Source organism: Homo sapiens, chromosome 10 (assembly GCF_000001405.40).
Source record: "Homo sapiens chromosome 10, GRCh38.p14 Primary Assembly".
NCBI classification, from domain to species: Eukaryota; Metazoa; Chordata; class Mammalia; order Primates; family Hominidae; genus Homo; species Homo sapiens.
In genome coordinates this window covers 18,161,640-18,187,278 of record NC_000010.11, presented here as the reverse complement: position 1 = coordinate 18,187,278, position 25,639 = coordinate 18,161,640, and the positions used below count along the sequence as shown (strand labels likewise).

Genomic DNA, 25,639 nt, shown 5'->3' with positions numbered 1-25,639 from the left:
TGTGCCCAGTGTTAAGTGAGGTTCTCCTAGCTGCCATCCCCACGGTAGGTTCTTCTCAGTTAACCCCACTCCTGCTGCCCAGACTCACTGGCCTTCCTCCTGACCCATCTTGATGGCTGTGAACTCTACCTCCTGTGTTGCCTCTCAGCTCAAGCATCACTTCTACCAGGAAGCCTTCCCTGACCACCCAGCCTAGACTGATTCCCCTCTCATGGCTCATAGCTCCCTATACCCTCCCTTCTTAGCACTTTCCATGGTTCGTCACCCATGGGCTTATTTTAATTCATTAACATCCTGTTCCTGCTCAAGGCCATAAGCTCCATGGAAGCAGATAATGTGTATCTTACTATTAAACCCCTAGGGCGCTACATAGTGACAGTTGTACAAAAGCTGCCCCATTCGTTTTATTGACTGATTTTATTTGAACACATGATAGTAAGTGATATGGTTTGGATCTGTGTCCCTGCCCAAATCTCATGTTGAATTGTAATCCTCAGTGTTAGAAGTGGGGCATGGTGGGACATGACTGGATCATGGGGGTGGATTTCTCATGAATGGCTTAGCACCATCTCTCTTGGTATTGTCCTCATGATCCTGAGTGAGTTCTCATGAAATCTGGTCTTTAAAAGTGTAATACCTCCCTCCACCCTCTCTTGCTTGCTCCTGCTCTGGACATGTAAGACATGCCTTCTCCCCCTTTGCCTTCCACCATGACTGTAAGTTTCCTGAGGCCTCCCCGGAAGCTGAGGAGATGCCAGCATCATGCTTCCTGTACAGCCTGTGGAACTGTGAGCCAATTAAACTTCTTTTCTTTAGAAATTACCCAGTCTCAGGTATTTCTTTCTTTCTTTTTTTTTTTCAGACGGAGTTTCACTCTTGTTGCCCAGGCTGGAGTGCAACAGCATGATCTCAGCTCACCGCAGCCTCCGCCTCCCAGGTTCAAGCAATTCTCTTGCCTCAGCCTCCCAAGTAGCTGGGATTACAGGCATGCACCACCACGCCCAGCTAATTTTGTATTTTTAGTAGAGATGGGGTTTCTCCATGTTGGTCAGGCTGGTCTCGAACTCCTGACCTCAGGTGATCCGCCCACCTTCACCTCCCGAAGTGCTGGGATTACAGGTGTGCGCTACCATGCCTGGCCTCAGGTATTTCTTTATAGTAATGTGAGAATGGTCTAATAAAGAAAAATTATATTCCCTTCATTCCAAAGATAACTTCCATGTGGCAGACACACATTTATTCAAATATACATTTGTGTCTCTGTTCACATGTCAACTAAAAGAAGCTTTCTTTGAGTAACACCTCCCACCAGCCATTCTTTATCACCTTACGATGACTTCCTCAAACCACCAATCACCCCTGACTCACACTTACCTGTTCACTCTCTGTTGGCACCATCAGCATGTCATCTCCATGACAACATGATTTTGTTTGCTTTGTTCTCTACCATATCCCAAGCACCGAGAACAGTTTCTGGCACATGGTAGGCACAGAATAAATATTTATTAAATGAATGAATGTGCTGGGTATGCAAAGAAAGCTACGCAAATGGGAATCCCACTCACACACCCTATTTCTACTTTCTGATCATCTCTGCCATCAGTTGCCAACCTTTTGTCAAGGTAAAAGATGTATTTTCATTTCTGTTTTCCAAATGCAAGCTATTGACCTCAGTACTATTTCAGTTAGTATATAAAAACAAGTACCCTGCTAGAAACTGTGTCCAAAACAGTCCAAGATGCCAGAACAAATTCATTCCTTTCAACATTTCCAGGGCAACAGCAAATCCAAGATGACCTTCAAGTTTGCTTTTGCCAAAATGCATTATAACCCTGCTCAAATAAATGTTCACCAGAAGCATCTGAGCTCACCAGATAAATGGAATTTAAATAACACATTTCCTATCTGGAAATACTCTGTATACAATTTAACTCATCTGATTCTGTTAATAAATTTTAGGTTGAACAGAATCAAGCTACCAACAAACTTTTTAAATTTTGTTTGCTGTATACTTTAAAAAGGTGAATTTTAAGGTTTATGAATGATATCTCAATTTTTAAAAAGTACTAATGGAAAGAAATTCTACAAAATATCTAACTGGTAATCTTCAAAACCGTCAAGGTCACCAAAAACAAAGTCAAGTGCGTGTGGTGGCTCACGCTATAATCCCAGTACTTTGGGATGGGCCAAGGTGGGAGGATTGCTTGAGCCCAGGAGTTTGAGACCAGCTTGGGAAACATAGTGGGATTCTGTTGCTACAAAAAATGAAAAATTGGCCAGGCGTGGTGGTGCATGCCTGTAGTCCCAGCTACTCAGGAGGCTGAAGTGGCAGGATTGCCTGAGCCTGGGAGGTTGAAGCTGCAATGAGCCATCATCAGGCCACTGCACTCCAGCCTGGGCAACAGAGAGAGCATCAGGAAAAACAGCTAATGCATGCTGGGCTTAATACCGAGGTGATGGGTCGACATGTGCAGCGAATCATCATGGCAGGTGTTTACCTAGGTAACAAACCTGCATGTCCTGCACCTGTATCCTAGAACTTAAAATTGAATTGAATTGAATTGAATCGAATGAAATTAAAAACAAGCAAATACACAACACTGAAAAAAAAAAAAAAAAAAAAAAAAAACAAAGTCTGAGAAACTGTCCCAGGCAAGTGAAGCCTAAAAAGACTGTATCCTAAATGTAATGTGACATTTAGGATAGGGTCCTGGAACAGTAAAAGTAACTTAAGGAAAAACTGAGAAAATTTGAATAAAGTATGGACTTTAGTTGGTTAGTATATCAGTATTAGTTCATTAATTATAACAAAGGTACCATACTTATACAAGATGTTAATAATAGGGGAAACTGAGTCTAGGGCTTATGAGATTTCTGTACCATCTTCACAATAATTTGATAAATCTAAACTTGTCATAAAGTAAAAAGTAAATTACAAAAAGCATTTTTCATTTCCTTTTCTGTTTTAAACTTAGGTGCTTAATACTTCCTATAACCATGATGCCTCAGAAATAGAACTGTAGGTTTGTCATCATCTCAAGAAGTCCTGTCTTTCTCTTGCAGGTTTTAATCCCATGCAACAAAGTTCAATGAGTATAAACTGATCATCTACCATAGGTCTGGCATTGGGGTAAGTTTAGAGTGAATACAAAGATGATTAAAATTAAATCCATACTTTCCTAAAAGATGAATGCCCCAGTGCAGCAAGTTCTGTTAATAAGAGCTAACCTTGGCTGGGCACTGTTTTAGCATTTTTCTTGGATTAACACTTTTAATCCTTTCAACAACTCAATTAGATAGGTACTATAATTGTTTCATCTGCACAGAGGAGCAACGGAGCTCTAGAACAATTCAGTAACTCTCCTGGGCTTGCAGAGCTAGTGAATAACAGAGGTGGCATGTGGCATTAAAGTTAGGGCATTCGGTGAACTACCTGTACTATGCACCACTACACCATTGTACCACTCGGCCTCCTAGGGCACCCATAGGTTCACATCTAGGAGAATCCCTGCACTTCCATATATGTGGCTGATACGGTTTGGCTTTGTCCCTACCCAAATCTCCTCTTGAGTTGTAGCTCCCATAATTCCTGCATGTCATGGGAGGGACCCAGTGGGAGATGACTGAATCATGGGGGTGGGTTTTTCCCATGCTGTTCTCATGACACTGAATAAGTCTCACCAGATCTGATGGTTTTATAAAGAGGGGTTCCCCTGTACAAGCTCTCTCTTGCCTGCTGCCATGTAAGACGTGACTTGCCCTTCCACCATGATTGTGAGGCCTCCCCAGCCATGTGGAACTGGGAGTCAATTAAACCTCTTTCCTTTATAAATTACCCAGTCTCGAGTATGTCTTTATTTGCAGTGTGAGGATGGACTAATACAGTGGCAAAATGTGAAGCAGACTTTAAATGACCAGCAGGAGTTTTTTAATGAAAAAAAATAATAAAAAAGAACAGGCAGAAGGAGAGGACAGAAAACAAATGTTACAGAGGCAGAAAAGCCTGATGATAGCTGTCTGCTTCAGCTATAATTTAGAGAACTCAGACTATATGGCAGACATGGTCCTAAGCACTTCACATATAATATCTCATTTAATCCTGGTGTGTGGGTTGATACTGGGATCTGCGTTTTACAGATGAGAAAGAAGAGCCTTGAAAAGTTACCACCACTATCAAATAATACTTGGCTGCAAAATGAGGATTCCAACAGGTCTGCCCAGCTGCACAAATAATCTCTCAACCACAATGCCCCTCTGCTTCTCCTAATTAAAAAAAAAAAGATGTTACAATTCAATTTGTATACTATTTTCTCAGCTATTGTATATGTATGTAATAATTACATATGCATGAGTGTAAGAGATTGAGATAAAAGGATTTGGGTAAAAAGACCCCAAGATATTAATAATGTTAACGCTTCAGGTGAAGGAAATTATGGGTTTTTGTTTTTTTTTTTTTTGAGACAGAGTCTCATTCTGTCACCTAGGCTGGAGTACAGTGGTGCGATCTTGGCTCACTGCAACCTCTGGCTCCCTGGTTCCAGCAATTCTCCTGCCTCAGCCTCCCGAGTAGCAGGGATTACAGGTGCACGCCACCACGCCTGGCTAATCTTTTGTATTTTAGTAGAGACGGGGTTTTACCACGTTGCCCAGGCTGGTCTCAAACTCCTGAGCTCAGGCAATCTGCCCACCTCTGCCTCCCAAAGTGCTGGGATTACAGGTGTGAGCCACCACCTCCTGCCTGGGTGATTTTTTTTTTTTTAATCTTCTTCCTGAAATGCTTTTCCTTTTTCAAATTTTCTATTACAGGCATGTGTTACTTTTGTGCTTACAAAAATTGCAACATAATGAATTATTATTGAACTCAAAGTTTTCGGATTGCTATAAAATGTTACCTACGTTTTTATATTTTACATTTTTACCCCTTCTACCTTATTTCAAAAAAAAATTTTTTTTTGAGGTGGAGTCTTGCTCTGTTGCCCAGGCTGGAGTACAATGGTGCAATCTCGGCTCACTGGTCTCAAACTCTTGACCTCAGGTGGATGCCCGCCTCAACCTCCCAAAGTGCTGCTATTACAGGCATGAGCGACTGTACCCGGCCCTTACTTCAAAATTGATAAACACCCCAGACATAATTGGGCCAAAGGGAAGGTGGCTTAGGGTATGCTCAAGGGAGGCTGTTTCTGCCAGTGACCCAGGAAGGTCCTCCTCAGATTCATAGTCTTTCACTGCCCTGCAGACCTATTCTTTGGTACCAAAATCAGCCCACACAACACAGACAAGCCACGTACTAGGAGAACCCCACAGGGTCACTAATTTTTCTGAGGATTTGTTTGGAAGCTGTTTAAAGTTGACCTCAAGGCCGGGCACAGTGGATCACGCCTGTAATCTCAGAACTTTGGGAGGCCAACATGGGAGAATTGCTGGAGGCCAGGAATTCAAGGTTAGCCTGGATAACATGTCAAGACTCCATCTCTGTAAAAAAAAAAAAATACAAAAATTAGCAGGATATAGTTGCATGCGCCCATAGTTACAGCTGCATGGGAGACTGACGTGGGAGGATCGCCTGAGCCCAGGAGTTCCAGGCTGCAGTGAACTATGACTGAACCACTGCACTCCATCCTGGGTGACAGAGTGAGACCCTGTCTCAAAAATAAAATAAAATAAAATAAAATAAAATAAAATAAAATAAAATAAAATAAAATAAAATAAAATAAAAAAGTTATCCTCAAATTTCAAAACTCTGACTACCGGCCATTTTTTCAAAAAATGGCAAAAGAGTACTGCAAATAGGTAATTTTCTCAAAGGGCTAACTTTAGCAGACTTCTATAAGGAAGGGTACCAAGTTCCTTACGGGCAGAGAGGTTTAACCAGGGCTACAGTCTTGCATCTTCTCACTATTAAGATTGAGCTTCTTGTGAAAAACTTAAGTCAATGGGAAGAAAGAAAGAAAAATAAGATTCAGCTTATTGATTTGTGAGAATGTCTTAAAATTTGCAGTGTGAGGGTGGACTAGCTTTTGCTAAGAGGGAAGTTTCATGGGAGAAAGTAGGGATCTAGGTAAGGTCATTCCAGTGCTTGCATGTACTCAGATGCACAGTTCTAGAGGGCAAGGTGACCCTGGGTCAATGGATACCAAGGACAGAGACAGAAGAAAAGGGAAGGAGAAATGGACCCTCTCAAGATATGCTTGACCTCTTTTTTTTTTTTTTTTTCTATTTTGGCTAAAAGCCTCAATGTAAATCCTTGAGGGGAAAATAGCCTCTGCTCCATTTTCTTATATTTCTTTTTTTGTTTTGTTTTGTTTTGTTTTTTGAGATGGAGTCTCGCTCTGTTGCCCAGGCTGGAGTGCAGTGGTGTGATCTCGGCTCACTGCAACCTCCATCTCCCGGGTTCAAGCGATGTTCCTGTCTCAGCCTCCTGAGTAGCTGGGATTACAGGCATGTGCCACCATGCACAGCTAATTTTTTGTATTTTTAGTAGAGATGGGGTTTCACTATGTTAGCCAGGATGGTCTCGATCTCCTGACCTCGTGATCCGCCGGCCCGTGCCTCCCAAAGTGCTAGGATTACAGGAGTGAGCCACCGCGCCTGGCCTCTTCTATTTCTTTGACTGAGTTTTCAGGATTTTCTCAGCATCTGCTCTGTGCCAGACATTGATGTGTGGTTTACACTGTCCCTAATCCTCGTAACTGCCCCATGAGGGAGGGATACAATTTTCCCATTTTGCAGATGAAGACAGTGAAGATCAGGGAGGTTGACCTCTGCGACGCAACAGGATTTGTGACCGTAAGACCCAAGGTTAAAAGGCAGCCTTAAAAAAAAAAAAAGGCAGCCTTACCCAGTCCACATTCTCCCATTATATCATCCTGCCTGACGTAAAAGAAAAAGACAAGGAGATTTGAAGTACTGCCTACTTATTAAAGGAGTTAAACATTTCATCTAGTGCAATGGATCGAATAGTCTTTCCATCTGGGAAGATGGCCCCATCACAGGCTCTTAGACCACCCCTCTGTCTGTTGCAGAGAAGCCAGAGTGATGTGCGGTATGTCATTCCCCTCCAGCCTGCTACAGTTCTATGTTGGCAAAATATAAGATCATTCCTCTCCCTCCAGAGAGCAAAAGGCAAATGAGGCTAGTAGGTTTCTAAACTACAGTCTTATATGGCCTCGGAGTTCTCCCTTGCATAAATACACGCTGATACGCTAAATCAGAAGCCAAGAAGAGAAACTATAAATAGCCCCAGCTCCAGCCAGCAGAGGAAGCAGACCTGTAGTCATGCCAACTAGTGCATATAAGCACAGGAATGGAATCTTCAGGACACGTCCTTTTTGCAAGCCTCATCTATACCAAGGAGAATACTATGAAAAATAACACGCCCCTCTGTCACCAGTGAGCTACAAGTGGAATTCTGCTAGTAAGGGAAAGGTAAAATTCACAACTTAGACTACTGGAGAGGAAATTTAGTTTGAGTGACTTGTCTGAACTGAAAGAGTTTTAATATTATTCTTTCTGTTTAAAGCAGATTTTAAATATTGGCATGCACGTGTTTACTCACAAGCAAAAGGAAAGAACCGGTATGCAATCAGGCATCATACAAAAAGTTAAACACCAAACTAAAGCACACAGTGCTAAATTAAGCACTTGGAAGAAATCCCTGAATTAAAAAAAAAAAAAATCTGCTGATTTGAGCTTATCTTTACCCGAAGATCCTAAAAAATTTAATGAAAAGATAAACATGCATGTATTACTATAGCACTTTCAGAATCATTTGGTTCCAAAAAACTGAACCTGACCACAAAAATCAAAGTTTTATTCAGCAATGACCAGGTAAGTTACAGACTAAATGGAAAGAACATAATGGTTGGGGTGGGATGCAGGGAGAAAAACAGGAACAAGAGCAGGGTAACTGACTCACTGTCCCTTTTACCCAGAGGCACGGAAGACCTTTATTAGTGGTCTTAGGAAAGCTATCACCTCCCTACAACAATTTCTCAGATAGCAAGGGCTGCTATGTCTGCTATTTATAAACCCTTTCTTTTTCTGTCCAGACTTCCTCATATATGTTTACTAGTCTTCTGCTAAAGGGTTATTCCTTTTGCTAAAAAAAGTAGAAAAAAATTAAAGTTATTGACATTTATTTTATAGTGTTTAGTTTACATTGCAATAAAAGCGTTTGTGGTTACTCAACTGGTAAAAGCCTGTTCCGCAGTAAGGCCTAGAAAATTCTAATTTGTTTATGTGAATATCTCACCCAGAGCACAGACCTGCTGGAAGGTTTCTGCCTCTTTAAAAAAAGAGTCTCAAGTGCTTTCTATAGACCCAACTTCTGCTCTATGTTTCAGCTATCCTCAACCTCCACCCTGTCCCTACAAGGTTTGGCAGCAGAAATGCCCAAGCATCTCCCAGGGGTCTATTACCAGACCTATCCAACCTCTCTTCCCTGGGGCTCAAGGGTTCACAGAGTTTCAAACAAACTTGCTAATGGCAGCTCTCCTGGCAGTCTCCATCCCCATGGCAACACAAACTTCAGAATTGAACGTAGCAAAAGCAGGAACACTGATTCATATTTCACCGAATATCTGCTCAACCTTCCATCTAAGAGGCACCCTTGCCAGATGTTTGCTTTTACCCAAAGATGTTTCTATCACCCATGCTAAATGAAACAAGCAAATAGGGAAAAGAACCTTCTCCCAAATCACTATCTTTGTGTGACCTTTCTCTAAGCTAAAAAAAATAATAAAAATAAAAGGAATCAAAAAAGAAGAAATCTGTGGGTCAACTGGATCCTTGAGAACAGGACCTCTATCTGATTAATCTCTGTATGATTTTCAGTATTTACCATGTATTTAAATTATGATATACATGCACAATTCAGATATTTAATCAACATTTCTTGAATGAGAAGGAATCTGAGAAGATTAGGCTCTAACAAAGCCTAATAGGTAGAGTTAATGCTAAAAGTGCCATTTAAAATGACTTTTAAATCTCTCTGAAGATCTCTGGCAGCAAACATCACTAAAACACAGAAAAAGAAAAGGCTCATTTCAACGGTAAAGTCCCCAATCCCTACAGGCTTATGACTTAAGGAGATAATGATAAAGTCGCATCATACTCCAGTCTACATTACCCGAATTCAACTCTATATCCTCAGTAGCAACCGCCAAGAAAAGGAGAACTTCAGGAAGTATGCATCCCAATGCAAAACCGAGATATGAGAGGAGACACCACTATTCTGCAATCAGCTTCATGCCTGTATCTTCTCCCAGGATGGTCACTGTGCCAGTGGATGGGAGTCTAGCTGCAAAATGCATATGATATGCCTCTTGAATACCTACGTATATACTGTGAAAGGAAAATAGAATCTTGGCACCCCAAACTCACTATGCCAAATGGAAAGTTAAGCTTAGAAACTGAGTCACACAAAAACTGCCTTCCTTTTTGTTCCCAAATAGCTGTAATTCCACATGCTTACTTTATCTTATGTAACATGTTAAAATGTAGATTAACCAAGCAAGAGAAGAATGCAAAATTGGCTTTTCCTGTACTCTTCTTTGCACATGTAACATGTAGATTCACTGAGTGCTAATCAGAGCCTACCAAGATGGAGCCGCTTGCCTCACTGCCTGCCTGTCCTCCTTTTCTTTTTCTTCCCCAAATGCTTGCTCTTTCTTTCTTTCTTCTTCTTCTTCTTTTTTTTTTTGAGATGGAGTCTTGCTGTGTCTTCCAGGCTGGAGTGCCGTGGCGTGATCTCAGCTCAAGAGCTGGGATTACAGGTGCCTGCCACCACACCCAGCTATTTTTTTTTTTTTTTTTGCATTTTTAATAGAGACGGGGTTTCACCACGTTGGCCAGGCTGGTCTCAAACCCCTCACCTCAAGTGATCCACCCACTTTGGCCTCCCAAAGTGCTGGGATTATAGGCATGAGCCACTGTGCCCAGCCTCTTTCTTGGTTAAATACTGAACATCCCAAAACCCTCTGTGGATAAAGCATAGGTTGCAGATCCTACTGAGGCACGTGTTTGTTTTTCTCAGGTGCATCTTCAACTATGGTAAAATACACTTCTGATGGATTGAGATCTGCTTCAGTCACTTTTTGGTTTACTACATGTATATGCACATGATTTGATGGGTGATCTGTAGGACTCTAACAGGCACTTCTGCTTCTGTATGTTCTCCTTGCTAAATGTCTTTGCAACCTAAACCCCAGCCTTAGGGTTTAGGGTTGAGGCTACACAGTGAAAACAACACTTTCCCTCAGTCACTACCTAAAATGTGGAGGGTACCTCCCTCCCTCACCTCTATACGCTTTCTCACTGCCATCACTAACAAGTTCTGGAATTCTGTACCCCTAACCAAAAGTCCCACTCATCTCTTCCTTATCTTCACTCATTCCCCGCATACCTTCTCAATGTCCCCTGAAACACCGAACTGCAGTGAACTACTATCCCCACATCCTTCACCTCTTCAACTGAACCATGCCTGCCCACCCAGCATTCTCTGAAACATGGCTGCCCATAGGCTAGCACCTCTATGGTGGTCCTCACATGGAAGCTGGTACGTGGAGACCATTTGACTTGCACCCTGTAAATGCTAACCTCCATTTGGCATTCTAGATCTCCACCATTTGCTACAACCCACCTTCACAGACTTACCTTCCAATCACTTTCAATGTTCCTTCAATGCCAGGAAAAATATTGCTCAACTATAGGAATTGTGACTTTCCCTCTTCTGTAGCTTCACTTACCCTGGTCTCCACTCCTAGAACACCCATCTTTCCCATCCCCACTGTTGGAGGTTCACATTTAATTTCTTCTGCAATGCTTTTGTGATTCCCTAGTAAGAACAATATGTTCCTACACTAAACTCCTAGAGCACTTTCTCTATTTCCCTATTTAAAGCCTTCCCATTTTCTTCTTTTAAATACATCATGTGCACATTTTACCTCCTCATTAAAACAGTAAACTTCCTGGAATCAGAGACTGTCTCTCTTTCATAATACTGTTCACCATCATCAGTGTCTTCTATTTTATATTGGTGGGTTACTGACCCCCGCAATAACTGGTAATTTTCTTGTCCTAATCCTGTTTGTACAAAGCCAAATATGCACTGGTACAATTGTGTGGTGAGCACTATGTGGTCATGAATGGAAGCGCACCACTGTCTTTGGCATACTAGAAATGATACTAGGAATGAAATATTCTCATGTATAACAGGCTGCATTCAGAATTCAGTCTAGTTACAACATGCTGTAGGTGTCTTTCACACACGAACAAGTACTCACTGCTCTCAGGTTCCTACCATAAATACGTATAATGGGCTTTCTTTCTATTGACCACCACAGTAATTCTAGGGGAAAATGTTCTGAACCTAAAAAGCCAGAGGCCGGGTGCAGCGGCTCATGCCTGTAATCCCAGCACTTTGGGAGGCTGAAGCGGGCAGATCACTTGAGGTCAGGAGTTTGAGACCAGCCTGACCAATGTGGTGAAACCCCATCTCTACGAAAAATACAAAAATTAGCAGGGCATGGTGGCAGGCACGTGTAATCCCAGCTATTCAGGAGGCTGAGGCAGGAGAATAGCTTGAACCTGGGAAACAGAGGTTACAGTGAGCCGAGATTGCACCATTGCTCTCCAGCCTGGGCGGCAGAGTGAGACTCCATCTCAAAGAAGTACTTAAAAAAAATTCATCAAGAAGCCGGAAGACTGGAGCCCTGTATCCCTGGCAGTGGGTGTGTGTGTGAAAGACAAAGAGACACAAATTTCTAAAGACTTAAGTGAATAAGAGCCTGTGAACTTTCATAAAACGAGTGTTCCTCATAAAAAAAATTGTGCATGTTTTTATTCTGACCCAATACGCACATCCTTTGACATGCATCTGTCTTCGTTATTTTATATGCGACAAAGTAAACTAGTAGCAAAAAGGTGGCCAGCTGCGTATTTGGGGGCAGATCTTTCTTTTCCATTTTCTGGTGCTTCTCTGAGGTCTTTAGTCAGATGCCTCAGTACCAAACTGGTACCAGTGTGGACAACGAAAGACGCAATGACTATCTGTTGCTGTAAATACATATTTCAAACAACACTGCAAGTTTTGACAGTAACCAACATAATTATATTGTTTCTAACATTAAGAAACCTGGAATATCCTAAGATTCTATACGTCTATTTAAGAAGACTTTTAAACAAGACCATAGAGAGGTCAATTCTCGTCAGCCACATGAAATAGTCTTGTTAATCTCTGGTTGAAAGTGGCTAACAGAACAGATTTAAGTGTTATTTTATTTATCTATTTATAAATGATTGTTATGTTAGTGCTGCTATAATCCTCTTCAATTTTGTGTTTCTAAATTTTTCTGTCTGAAAACCAAAGTGAAAAGTTAAGTTTCAATTCTTTCCAATGAATTAGTATTTTAAACATTTTTTTTAGTTGAGGGAAAACTGTAAAGGTAATACTCTAGAAATCTGAATTGTATTTAAATTTGAACTCATGTTAGAACAGACATCTGGCACACATACTTGTCTGTAATACTTGAATCAAGCAGAACAGAACAAATCTCAAGTCAGAAATAAAATGTCTTGGCCCGGCATGGTGGCTTACGCCTGTAATCTCAGCACTTTGGGAGGCCAAGGCGGGTGGATCACTTGAGGTCAGGAGTTCGAGACCAGCAGGGCCAACATGGTGAAACCCCGTCTCTACTAAAAATACAAAAATTAGCTGGGCATGGGGGCAGGCACCTGTAATCCCAGCTACTCAGGAGGCTGAGGGAGGAGAATTGCTTGAACCCTGAAGGCAGAAGTTGCAGTGAGCCAAGATTGTGTCATTGCACTCCAGCCTGGGCGGCAAGAGCAAAACTCAAGAAAGAAGGAAAGAAGGAAAGAAAGAGAGAAAGAAAGAAAAGAAAAAGAGAAAGAAAGAAAAAGGAAGGAAGGAAAAAAAGAAAGAAAGAAAAGAAAAGAGGGGGGAGGGAGGGAGGGAAGGAAGGAAGGAAAAGAGAGAAAGAGAGAGAGGGAGAGGGAGGGAGGGAAGGGAAGGGGAGGGGAGAAGGAAGGGGAAGGGGAAGGAGAAAGGAAGGGAAAGAAGGAGGGAGGGAGGGAGGTAAGGAAAGAAGGAAATGTCTCAAACTCCCATCTTCAAAGGTGCTAAGTTTTCACTTCTTTCAAACAATGGTAAGATTAAGCAAAGACAAGAAAATTTTTACAAATTATTTAAAAGGAAATATTAGAGAACAGTCTGTTTCTATTACCTCTTACAGAATGAATCCTCTTTTTCACTCTCTATAAGTTTTTGTTACTAGAGTTGTACCAATAAAGTACTAATTTAATAAAGGCCATCTGAGACTCACCAACATTTTACCACCAGTTTCCCTGAACTTACTAATTTGCAGGAGTATTTGTGGCACTTTTATAGAAACGTAAAATCTAAACATTTAAAAGTTTCTAAATGGCCAAGCATTTTAAAAACCTGCAAAAATATAACAGACACAGCCCTACCACCAGATACAAACTTAATATCAACAAAACATACAATGTCCTGGGCCTTTTAGGCTTAGAAAACATATCATACTAAAAGGTTAGAAGAAGTAGAAATGTCTCTCTATATTCAGAACCCACAGTGATTCATTATATAATGCTAATTCCAAGAGCAAAAAAAATTAAACCACAAACTTGATATTGTAAGGAACCCTAAACCCACCCTCAAACAAGTCAAAACTATACTCAAAGTTCTTACAGCCTCAGCTCTCAGGAACCTCATTCCTAAAAGGTTCCAAAATCTCTCAACCAGGAATACATCTCTCACCTGTGGTTTTCCTGGAAGTATATACACCATCCTAACATAAGCCACCGGCCTGGATGTTTTATTAGTACCATTTGAGCCAACATGTATAGAGTTTACCATGCACTAGGTAATGTACAAATGGCCTTTGGAAAGGCAATTATGACAAGTTAAGACATTTTGGTTGTAAGTGTCAGAATCCCATTAAAGAGTATTTAATAAGTTATCCTTATTTCATCTCCATCATCTCTTTCATTTCTCAAAATAGCTTTATAAGATAGGCCTTATGGCCAGGTGCAATGGCTCATGCCTATAATCCCAGCACTTTGGCAGGCTGAGGCAGGTGGATCTCTTGAAATCAGGAGGTCTAGATCAGTCTGGCCAACATGGTGAAACCCCATCTCTACTAAAAACACAAAATTAGCCAGTCATGGTTGTGCACTCCTGTAATCCCAGCTACTCGGTAGGCTGAGGCAGGAGAATCACTTGAACCTGGGAGGTGTAGGTTGCAGTGCGCTGAGATCGTGCCACTGCACTCCAGCCTGGGTGTCAGAGTAAAACTCCATTTAAAAAAAAAAAAAAAGGCCTTATTATTTTCCCTATTTGAAGATGAATTGAAACTCGCAAGGGTTAAGTAACTTGCCCAATGTGTGATGACTAAAGAGTTCAGGAGCGTGGATAAGAATTCAGGCTTGGAGTTGGTGTTCATAATGACTAGGGAATTCTGGTCATTACATGCAGGACAAACACAGACATGCTAGTCTTATACTTGTCCATTAGCTACACCATCCACTGAAAATAAAGTAAAATAGGTGTAGGCTTTTCGCAGTGAAGGCTGATGACACTAAAATTAATAAAACCTGGATAGCAAGGGCAGCCTGGAGTGGGCTAATGGGCACAGGACAAGGGTTTCACATCCAGTCTCTGCCACTTCCTAGCTCTGACACCTTCAACTCTGAACATCTCTTTCTTCCCTACTCTCAGGGATATTGTACAGTTTGAAAAAAAATTACAAAAAAACAATGCGTGGAAAACTAGAAAACACAATCAAATGGCATCTCAGGGAAACAGTGAAGATTCAAGAGAAGAGAAAAACATTTCCAATCAACTCTCCAGATGGAAGTGCTAGCTTTTTGCCTCTTTTGAGAAGGAGTCTTGCTGTGTCGCCCAGGCTGGAGTGCAGTGGCATGATCTTGGCTCACTGCAACCTCCACTTCCCCAGTCCAAGTGATCCTCCCACCTCAGCCTCCTGAGTAGCTGGGACTACAGGCACTTGCCACTACACTCGGCTAATTTTTTGTATTTTCAGTAGAGACGGGGTTTTGCCATGTTGGCCAGGCTGGTCTCGAACTCCTGACCTCAAGTGATTCTCCCACCTCAGTCTCCCAAAGTGCTGGGATTACAGGCCTGGGACACTGTGCCCCACCACTTTTTGCCCTTGAAACATGCCAAGATCCTGGTTTTGTAATCCCGCACGGTCCTAGACTTTCTACCTTCTTAGTTTCCTCTACTATTCATCTAGATATATGCCTAAAGGAGGATCAGTTAGCTCCACAGAGAAGAAACAGAGTATTTATGAAATGTCAGCTTTTGCTCTGCACATAGTGGGGTGGGAGGTGAGGGGCAGACACTGATGTAAGCATTGATGTAATAACAGAAGTGTGTTATTGCCACTAATAATCTGCTTGCCCAACATCTTTATTTATTGTATTTGACTTCTCCGGGTAACAATTCCCACCCTCCTTTCTGCATTAAACTCAGAATTGTGCCCTGCTGCCAACTCTGATGGTACTTGATCCCAACTGGTTCATCAGAGTGCTTCATCCTTGTCCAAACAGATGAGTCCAAACGGTGGTGTGTGAACGGTGGTGTGTAAACTAAGTGAGTCAAATAAGAGTCCTTCCTTTTTTTTTTTTTTTTAAACTGGAATTAAGAAGGATGAAGAAGAACAAATAGCCTTTTTTTTTTTTTTTTTTTTTTTTTTTTCTGCTATCAAAGCCGGGAAGAAGGGAGCCTGGAGCTTCCAACTGCCATGTTGCTGCCTGCATGGGGAAATCTGGTTTGGGTTATAGAGAATCAAATACCCATGCGGGGGAGACACAGTCCAGGCAGCATCCTGCCCCCAGCCCAGGAATACCCCTGACTGTTACAGTTATGGGTGGCAACATATCTCTTGTTGCCTATGCAACTTTGAAATGGGATTCTGAAGCTTACAACCAAAATATCCTAACTTATCACAATCCCCTTTCCAAAGAATAACCCTACATTTCTTGGCTGGAGAAATTGAGTGAAACATGCTAGAAGAGACCCTAATGCCTGGCAGAAGACAGGACTGAATGTCCTTAACAGATCTACCCAATTCCACTTGCAAAATCTCCAGTGCTGTTAAACATAATGGACAATTATGACTACAAAGATCTAAAAACAACAAGAACAGCGATTTTCTCTGCAGGTAGGCAGAGTGTGCGTTTAATGATGCAGCCAGCGGTACCAAATAGAGCACACACGGTCTTGAGCACCTTGCAAGGCGGTAAATGAATCTTCTCTTCCATTGAATTAAGATTCCATGCAAGAATTATCATTACTTTAAAAAATATATGGAAAATCTTAATATGTTAATTTCCCCCAATTAGTAAGATTCCCAAACATGTTATTAAATTTCTCTAAGATGTCTAGTATTGTGGTAAAATGTGACAATACTATAATCAAGCTTAAAAGAGCATTGTCAAGAATACAACGTATTGGTTTCTAAAACCAACATAACTGTTTTCCCTCTAGCACGTCAGTGCTGCTCAAATGTCATTAAGACTATAAAAATTTGATTTAGTTAGTCTTCTTGTCCTCACAAGGGTTTTTCAACACACAAACACACAACCCACCAACATTCTAATTTTTAATGGCAGTGGGGCGTGGTTTTATCACGAAGACTAAGAATTGAAAATTTTAAAAATATAGAGGCAGTACACATGACTCTGAATGCATGTTCTGATGCCAGTATATTTACACGTATATTCCCAGGAAGATATATTTTCACAGACTCACTCTCAATGCCATCAGGAATCCACTTCTACTAAATAGAAAAGGGTGCACTATAGTTTGAAAAAGGCTGGAGGGATGGCAAGGACTTATTCTTTCACCTTTCCCTGGAGTCTGGCATTTTCTTAAGCCATCTGTAGGAATCTGAGAGCTCTCAGGTCAACTTCATTCATTCATTCTGTAAAGTGGACCTCAGTTCTTTTTGTTACCATCCTACATCCATTCATTCCTCCTCCAGAAATAGCCCTCTGAGAAGGAACACCCCTCCTCATTCTTAGCCTTGTGTGGAGTTGATTTTTCTCCCACCTCTAAAGTGAACTTATGGCTTGGGCCAGGCCCATCAGTGGGTCACAGATCCCCAGCCTCAGTGATTAGTTCATGGACATGCCATCATCCAACCAGAGCCAATGAGGTGCACTGCAGTATGAACCAGGAAGAAAGTGGGCCTAAAGCTGTTGGGAGCCATCTTGTCATCACCTAGAGCTGAGAATGAAACCAACATGGAAGACAGTAGAGGCCAGAGATGGAAAGACATCAGCTGCCCAATGACATCAATGAGCTATTGACAACTGGGCTCTGCAGTTACATGAGTCCATAAATGTCCTTGTTGCTTTAAAGCCAGCCTGAGTCATGTTTGTGGTCTCCTGCAACAGAGAATTCTAACTGATGTACCCTGTTTTCCCTCTTTTAGACGATCAGCATAGGGAAATTCTGGGGGAAGGATGTGAAAAAGTGGGAAGATTGGTTCTGTAACTACAAGTGACAAGCAAGAAGACACTGTGACCCAAGAAGTATGAGTTCCCAATAAAGTGTTAATCTCCGCTACCTAGTATGAAACACCTACCTTACAAAATATAAGCATTTGGTCAAAAGCCTAAAAGTGAATGGGCAAAGTACTCTAAATTGAGGTTGAACTCAGATGACTTTATTCAGAGAGCAATATTTTTCCCGTACAATTATGCCTGTTATCACTAATTTTCTACATTTTATTTTAAAATGTAAATAGATCTGGGTTGTGAGGTAATGGGCAATCTTTATTTTCTGGGTTATTTTCAAGGGAGTATTATATGCCTTTTGTAATCAGAAGAAACCTATTTGTAAACATAAAACAAGAATGAGAGTAGCATATATTTTAAGTTAAATCATCTGGTAAACATGTAAATTCTTTCCTGAACAAAAGAATTACTCATTGTACACAAGACTTTTCTAGCCCTACCAAACCACAGCTATACCATTGACTTCTGATCATCTTTAAATTAAACTTATTTTTTTTAAAAATATATATGCCAAAAATATAATAAAAAAGAAGAATCAGTTTCTTTTTAAATTACCACCAATGCAACAGTATGATCATGCTCGATTTTCTTTGTAATTGTATGCTATTACAGCTATTATTAGTATAATAAGGTTATTTAGGCTAGTAGCTAGCCACCATTTATTATGTATACTTAATAAGATGAGGATTATAAATGAACTAAACAGAAGAAAACAGTTGTTTTAAAAATTTCTTGGCTGTTAGACTGTATTAAAAAGTTCCAAGATCAAGTAGATTTTATAAGGTCTTTGCAGGGAAACACAAGCCTTAATCAAATCAACATCATTGGCCTATGTCAAGGAACCACAGTTAAAAATCATTCACAAGGAGCTTGTATTTGGGAAAATAATACATTTGCTTTTCAAAACAGAGTTCTATAATCTAGCTAATTTTCCATTACATGCCCTAAATCCATCTTCCAGGATCACACGGCATCAGAAGAAAAATAACCATTGATAAAAAGAGCCTAGAGCTTGGTTTTCAAATGTTTCAGTAAAATGTGGAAAATTTAATGGACAAAATGGATGTTTAGCTCCTGAGAGCAGAGAACAAAAAAGTGGCAGTGTGAGGTGCTTCATATATTCAAAATTTAGCTCCTTACTCCATAAAACAACAACAGCAACAAAACACACACACTCACACACACACACACACACACAAAGAAGGAAGAAAGATGTAAATCTAGATGAAGATATCAAGAAATCATCTGTTTTTGCAGAATGAAGGCTCTTTAAGTAAGATACTGGCTCAATCAATTTTGGGGGGAAAATTACTTAGTTATCTGGTGATTAAGAATTCTTCTCCTACTAGTTGGTTTATTCAGCAGCAGTCCTTCCAGCCTCATTAACAGCCTCCCAAGCTTGCTTTCTTTTAGTTATATTTTTAGAGACAGGGTCTTGCTCTGTTGCCCAGGTTTGATCATAGCTCACTGCAGCCTTGAACTCCTGGGCTCAAGGGATCCTCCTGCCTCAACCTCCCAAGTTGCTATGATTACAGGCATGAGCCATCATGTCCAGCAGTGTTTGCTTTTGCAGGAGAAGTAAAAAGGGAACAAAAAATGCAAACAAACAACAATTTTTTTAAAACCCAGCAATAGGGAATATAGAATGTCTGCATGATTACTCATTAAGATAGAGAGGTTTCTATCCTAAGTGGCTTCACCAGAATTTCCACACCAAAGGGGTTTCAAGGCAACAAACTGCTTGCAATGGGGTTGGGGTCGGGGGTGACCTCGGGGAACTTACTGAGAAGCTTCACTGGTGTAGTAAACACAGGGTTTTCACTGGGGCTGTAAAATTGCTTGAATATATGACACGTGTCTTAAAGCTGCATTTACACTTACCTGGAGAATGTTCTGGTTTTCCTTAAACTATAGATTTGTTTGTGATGATAGAGATTATGAGCAAGCTGAACTACTTCTCCCCCCAACGGCTACCCCCTGCGCCATTCTGTATTATTATCCTCACTTTCCAGAGGAGCTGAGATTTGGAGTTGATAAAACTTCCCCCGATCATGCAGGTACTGAGTTGCAGGGCCTCGAATAAAATAAAGACAATTTTTCACAGTCGATGCGAGCATTTCTGAGATGAGATGCAAGGTTGAATAGCCCAGTAAGAGGGAAACTGGTGAACATTTTCCCCTCACTGGCCCTCCTCCCCGAGGCTGTATCATTGTGCCTTTATCCTTTATTGTTTTTTATCTTATTTTAGACTCAGGGAATATCTGTGCAGGTATCTTACATGGGAATATTGCATGATGGTAAGGTTTGGGTTTCTACTGAACTCATCACCCCAATAGTGAACACAGTACCCAATGAGTAATTTGTCGACCCTCCCCTCCCCTCTCACCCTTCCCCCTTTTGGAGGCCCCAGTGTCTACTGTTTCCATCTTTATGCCCATATGTACCCATTGTTTAGCTCCCACCCACTTATAAGTGAGAACATGCAGTGTTTGATTTTCTGATTCTCAGTTAGTTCACTCAGGATAATACCCTCCAGTTCCACTCATGTCGCTGTGAAAGACATGATTTCATTCTTTTTTAAGCAGCTAATAATTATTCTAGGTACCTTCACCTTGAAGAACAGGGTGCAGGTGGAGTAGCAAGGGAGGCTGGAGGGCCAGCCCAGGGCTTTCCAGGATTTCCAGTCTTATTCTCAATGAGCGGGAGAGGAAACGGGAAGACTTGGAGATTCAGGGGATTTAGGGGCCTGAAAGCACCTCCCTCCTCTGTGCATTTCTTTTTTATTTTATTTATTTTTTATTATTATACTTTAAGTTTTAGGGTACACGTGCACAACGTGCAGGATTGTTACATATGTATACATGTGCCATGTTGGTGTGCTGCACCCATTAACTCGTCATTTAGCATTAGGTATATCTCCTAATGCTATCCCTCCCCGCTCCCCCTACCCGACAACAGTCCCCAGAGTGTGATGTTCTTTTCTCCTGTCTCCATTCTAGAGCCACCTGGGGCCCTCAGTGGTTTTTACTCTCCTCTCCTCTGTCCTGGACTAGACTTCACAAGCCAATAGAACTGGTGGTCAAGTAACTATCCACAAAATAATAAAGGGTATCTAATCTCTTAAGCATATCTAGGAATATTTATGAGTTTAGCGATTAAAACAAAAACTTGGCCAGGTGCGGTGGCTCACGCCTGTAATCCCAGCACTTTGGGAGGCTGAGGTGGGCAGATCACCTGAGGTCAGGGGTTTGAGGCCAGCCTGGCCAACAAAAATTAGCTGGACATGGTGACACACGCCTGTAGTCCCAGTTACTCGGGAGGCTGAGGCATGAAAGTCGCTTGAACCTGGGAGGCAGAGGTCACAGTGTGCCAAGATTGTGCCACTGCACTTCAGCCTGGGATAGAACTACAGTCTGTCTCAAAAAAAAAATCCTCATAAATATCTGTATTATTAATTGAATTATTATTAATTGAATCAGGATTGAAGTGTCTTAATTTTTAAGATTTGTCACTGTTCATTTATCCTAGAAATACTTATGACCTTAATAATAACGTTAGTTTACATAAGTAATCTAGATTCATTCTAAATGTAAACCTAAAGACATCCATAGAAGGAAACAGATGTATACTTGTACATATACAGTCATATATATTACGAATATAAGATCAATTGATATTTACAGCCTGATTTTTAAGCTAAATAACTTTCTTAATAGACTACTTTCGATCTAAAATCTAACATGAACACAATATTTTGGACCCAGAAACTTACAACTCTTCAAACCATAGAAATGTAAACATCTATGGTCAATCTAACGTCAGTTGCAAAGGAAATGAAAAGACATGTGGCATTTGTTAATAAACATACTGCCCTTTAAAATGTTCCACACTAATAGAGCAAGCTATAAAAATACACTCTTATTTGATGTTTACTGGGATAGACTACTTCCTGTACAGGTTATTCAGAATTGGTATATGTAAATAAGGTGTTTCAAAAGATGTATAAACAACTTCCCTGGCATAATAGTGGTCTTGAGAAAAGCAACACGATATTGCAGGTATACTACCTGTACCTGGCCAACATGGTGAGACACTGTCTCTATTAGAAAACAAAAATTAGCTGGGCATGGTGACATACGCCTGGAGTCCCAGTTACTCAGGAGGCTGAGGCTCAACAGTCGCCTGAACCTGGGAGGCGGAGGTCACAGGGAGCCGAGATCGTGCCTTTGCACTTCAGCCTGGGCGATAGATCGTGCCTTTGCACCTCAACCTGTGCCTTCTTCCAAAAGAGGGCACAGGTGCAGTGACATCGTTTCTCTCTGTTTTGACATCGACACCTTCAGGAGTTGGCTGCACTGTACCTATCTGGACTCAGCCAGCCACCAGCCGCAGCAGATGGAACTCATCGCTTTCCATCCCTCCTCTCTGCCCTTCCACAGGATGAGCTCTCGGATGACGCATTCCTTCCCAATTTCTTCTCCTAGAACATTTCAACTCATTCTTCAATATCCAGCTCAAATATGACTTTCTTGGCAATGCTCCCTCTTCTTCCCAACAGTAGAATTAATCAGTCGCCTCCCCGTGTACCCACCACATTTTTGTATTCAGCTCTTTTGCAGAACTCGTAATGCTGGACTTCACATCATGAGTACATCAATACTTTAATATTTTAATCTAGGAACCATGTTATTTTGTTCTACATTTGGCCCACTGCCTGGCAAAGGCACTCCATATGTTGGTGAAAAAAAATGAATGAATAAATGAATGAATGAGTCAGTAAGAACCCATGACAAGAACTTAGTACAAATAAAGTCTAGCAGAGTCAGGAAGTCCGTGTATTTTTGGCCTGTTTCCCACGCAGTTTTCACATACACACGCACACAAAACGGTCAGAGAAATAGTTTCATAATAAAATGTAGACACCTCCAAGTCCTAAATCCAGAGTTATTCTTCTGCTTTGAGTAAAAAAGACTAAACACAGATGTCCGGGCTGAAACATCTGGGTTTGAAATCAGGCTACGTGTAATCTACCATCATTATTATACAGTTTATCTCGTTTGCCTTATAGATCACAGCTTCAGGATGTTCATGCTTCTTGTATTAATTGCAAGAGCCAGAAACAATGAAAAATGTTAGTAAAATTGTTTTGGCCTCTTTTCTAGGAATATTGTAAACATCTCCCCAAAGACCCATTGCCTGCAGAATTGTCTAACACACACTAACCAATTCTTCTTCCAAAAGAGGGTAATTACTCATGGTAAAGGGCAGTGTCTCTTGGTAACCAAATAACCTAGTTTCTTTCAACGATTGCTCTCCCACAAACAAATGGCCTGAGGCAGAGAGAGAATGGCTGATTTTCAACTTATATGACCACTAATGACCACTTCTGCGCAAGGGAAAACGTCTATTAGTCAGTGGCACTGGTTCAAAGGGCTTTACATAAGTTCACAGAAAAAGCCACAACAGGGACTTAAGATAAACAGCTGTCTGCAGCTCTAAACCCTGTGACCTTCAATTGACATCTAGTAGAAAACCTGTTTACATTGTGATTGCACATGGTGGTATTTTATCTGTCGTAAAAGTTTACAAAGATCTTTTTAAAACTGCAAAACTCTGTAATAACCTTGCCAATAGAAAGCATCAACCTCTACCTCCCAACTCTGATTTAGTCCTGCCCTTTGGCCCTCAAAACATCTCTGAAGAGGCAGATAGGCAGGACATCATCTAAGGAATCTTCCAACAACTCCCTTCCCCTTCCCACAATTCCACTCTGCCTTAGGATGAGTGAAAGCACTGCTTCTCCACGTGCCACAGTAGATTACACAGTCAACCAAGCACCAACCTCATAACCTTAATAACCCTGCTCTGGGGTCCTGGTCTCTCTCACAGAACTCCTGCCCTTTATTTGACCTAGCCCCTGTCCATTCCCACCCACTCTACCACTTCCTCCTGCACCACACTATTAATTTTGAAAAGTTCCAAACCGGTAGAAAAAGCAAAAGAATGGTCCAATGAACACCTATATAACCTTTCTGTAGGTTCACTAACTGAACACCTCTGTTTCTTGATATATGCTCAATACGAAACAGATGACCCCCTGATTTCTTGATGTCAGTGTTGCGGCCCTGCCTGAGGCCAACTCAGCTCTTGGGATGCAACCCTCTTCCAAGGTATTGCCAAAGTCCTGGCTCAGGGGCGAAGACTTAGTGCCTCATGCCCATGGTCATGGTCAGTGGCTTTGCACTAAGGGTCTAGAATCACCACCCCCTTTTCTACCAGATCTCAGGTATCACTGTTGTTGAAAAGTCTCTTGTTGCCCAACAAACACGTAAACATTCCCAAGAGTAATACCAATTTGATATAATAAATACTACATATTTATAAGGATATATACTCAGGCCAATTAATTAATCTGTCAAGGTCTTCATTCATCATCTGTTAAACGGGGATACTAACATCATCCATCTCACTGAGTTGTGCAAATGATCAAATAAAGTACTCACTAGAGTAGCTAGCACATGGTCAGCATGCGTCCACTATTTTACCACCTTTTATCAAATGATTCCTTTACGATGCTTGATTTTCCAACTCTTCGACCTCTGTGTATGCTGTAAGCCTTTCATCCCCTCCGGCACACTGCTTCATATATATCCTGTCTTGGAGGTCCTTCATGGCCTGGTGCCCTTGTAAGCTTCCAAACTCCATGCACCCATCCATCGATCTCTTCTATCCATTTCTCCATGAACCCAGAATCTGAGCCTACCGGTATTTACCATCCCAGAAACACATTGTGCATCCCCACTGTTTTACATCAATGTTGCGATCAGTGTGCAAAAACTATCTATGCTCACTATTCAGAGTAACACATCACTTCCTCTCGGCTCACACAGGGCTTTCTTTTGCACCTCTATGAACACATACTTCCTCCAGGTTCACGAATGGCTGATGTTATGTAAGTAAGTCATGCCTTGGTTTACTAATTCCCTAGGAGCTGGTTCTTACCTAAGGTTTTTATGACCCAGTCTGACCCCTTGAGCTCTTCCAGGTCATAGAGAATCCACTGGGAATTGGTTTCAAAATGCACGTGTTCAGATCCCTGATGTTAATAATAATCTAATTGACAGAGAAATATTTCCTAGAGATTTCTAGACTTTACTCCTTAAACACATTCTGTTCAGAAAGCAGCATGACTGGAAATCAGACCTTGAAAAGAGTAAACAATGTTCTTCAGTACGATCCACACATTGGTGAACGAGTACGCGTCATTGAACAAATCAGCCAGAGATGACATCAGATCCTCGATTTTTTTTTTTCCTGACAAGTAATAATTCCACAGCAGGGCATTCTGGCTTACCATGTGGGTTTTCTCCTTGCTTCAGCTCTCCTTATAATTATCAGAGAGAAACATTAAGTGAGGCTCTTTATTTCTCATGCTTTTAGGTGTTAAATTTCTATAAGCTTAAAGTAATAACTTCAAGAACTCAATAGATGAGGTAATGTGCTATGAGAAATGGAAGTATAAAATTACTTCTAAATAATCTTAGCATACTGTGAAGGATACTGACTTAGGTATATAATTACATTGTAAAATATAGCCTTGTTTTTAAATATGAGAGAGAAAAGAATAAAAGGAAAACCTAAAAGTTACAGAACACGTACTGACACACATATATGTACAAATGCATGTGTCTATTCATGGCTGTCATGAAATTAATACAATTCATCTATTGTATTATTTTTTACATTTTATTTTATTATTTTATTTCTGAGAAGGAGTCTCACTCCGTCACCCAGGCTGGAGTGCAGTGGTGTGATCTTGGCTCACTGGAATGTTTGCCTTCCAGGTTCAAGTGATTCTCATGCCTCACCCTCCCCAGTAGCTGGGATTACAGGTGCCCACCACCATGCCCGGCTAATTTTTAAAAAATATTTTTAGTAGAGACAGGGTTTCAGCATGTTGGCCAGGCTGGTCTTGAATTACTGACCACAGGTGATTCACCTGCCTGGGCCTCAAATTTGCTTGTTTGTTTTGGTGGGAAGGGGCAGTTGTTATAAA

The 25,639-nt window shown here is 41.1% G+C and overlaps 1 protein-coding gene across 7 annotated transcripts in view, besides 1 other annotated feature; it reads right to left on the bottom strand.

Annotated features, from left to right (window-relative positions):
- CACNB2 (calcium voltage-gated channel auxiliary subunit beta 2) overlaps positions 1-25,639 on the bottom strand; it is a 403,134-nt gene that overhangs the window by 356,279 nt on the left and 21,216 nt on the right. The window lies entirely within an intron of this gene.
- Positions 25,154-25,323: an enhancer, noted in NCBI's record as "experimental_11486 CRE fragment used in MPRA reporter constructs". NCBI's record gives its function as "activates a minimal promoter by MPRAs in K562 erythroleukemia cells, with activity observed for both the introgressed and non-introgressed 10:18450970 variant alleles {active_cell/tissue: K562}" and the evidence as "EXISTENCE:reporter gene assay evidence [ECO:0000049][PMID:34662402]".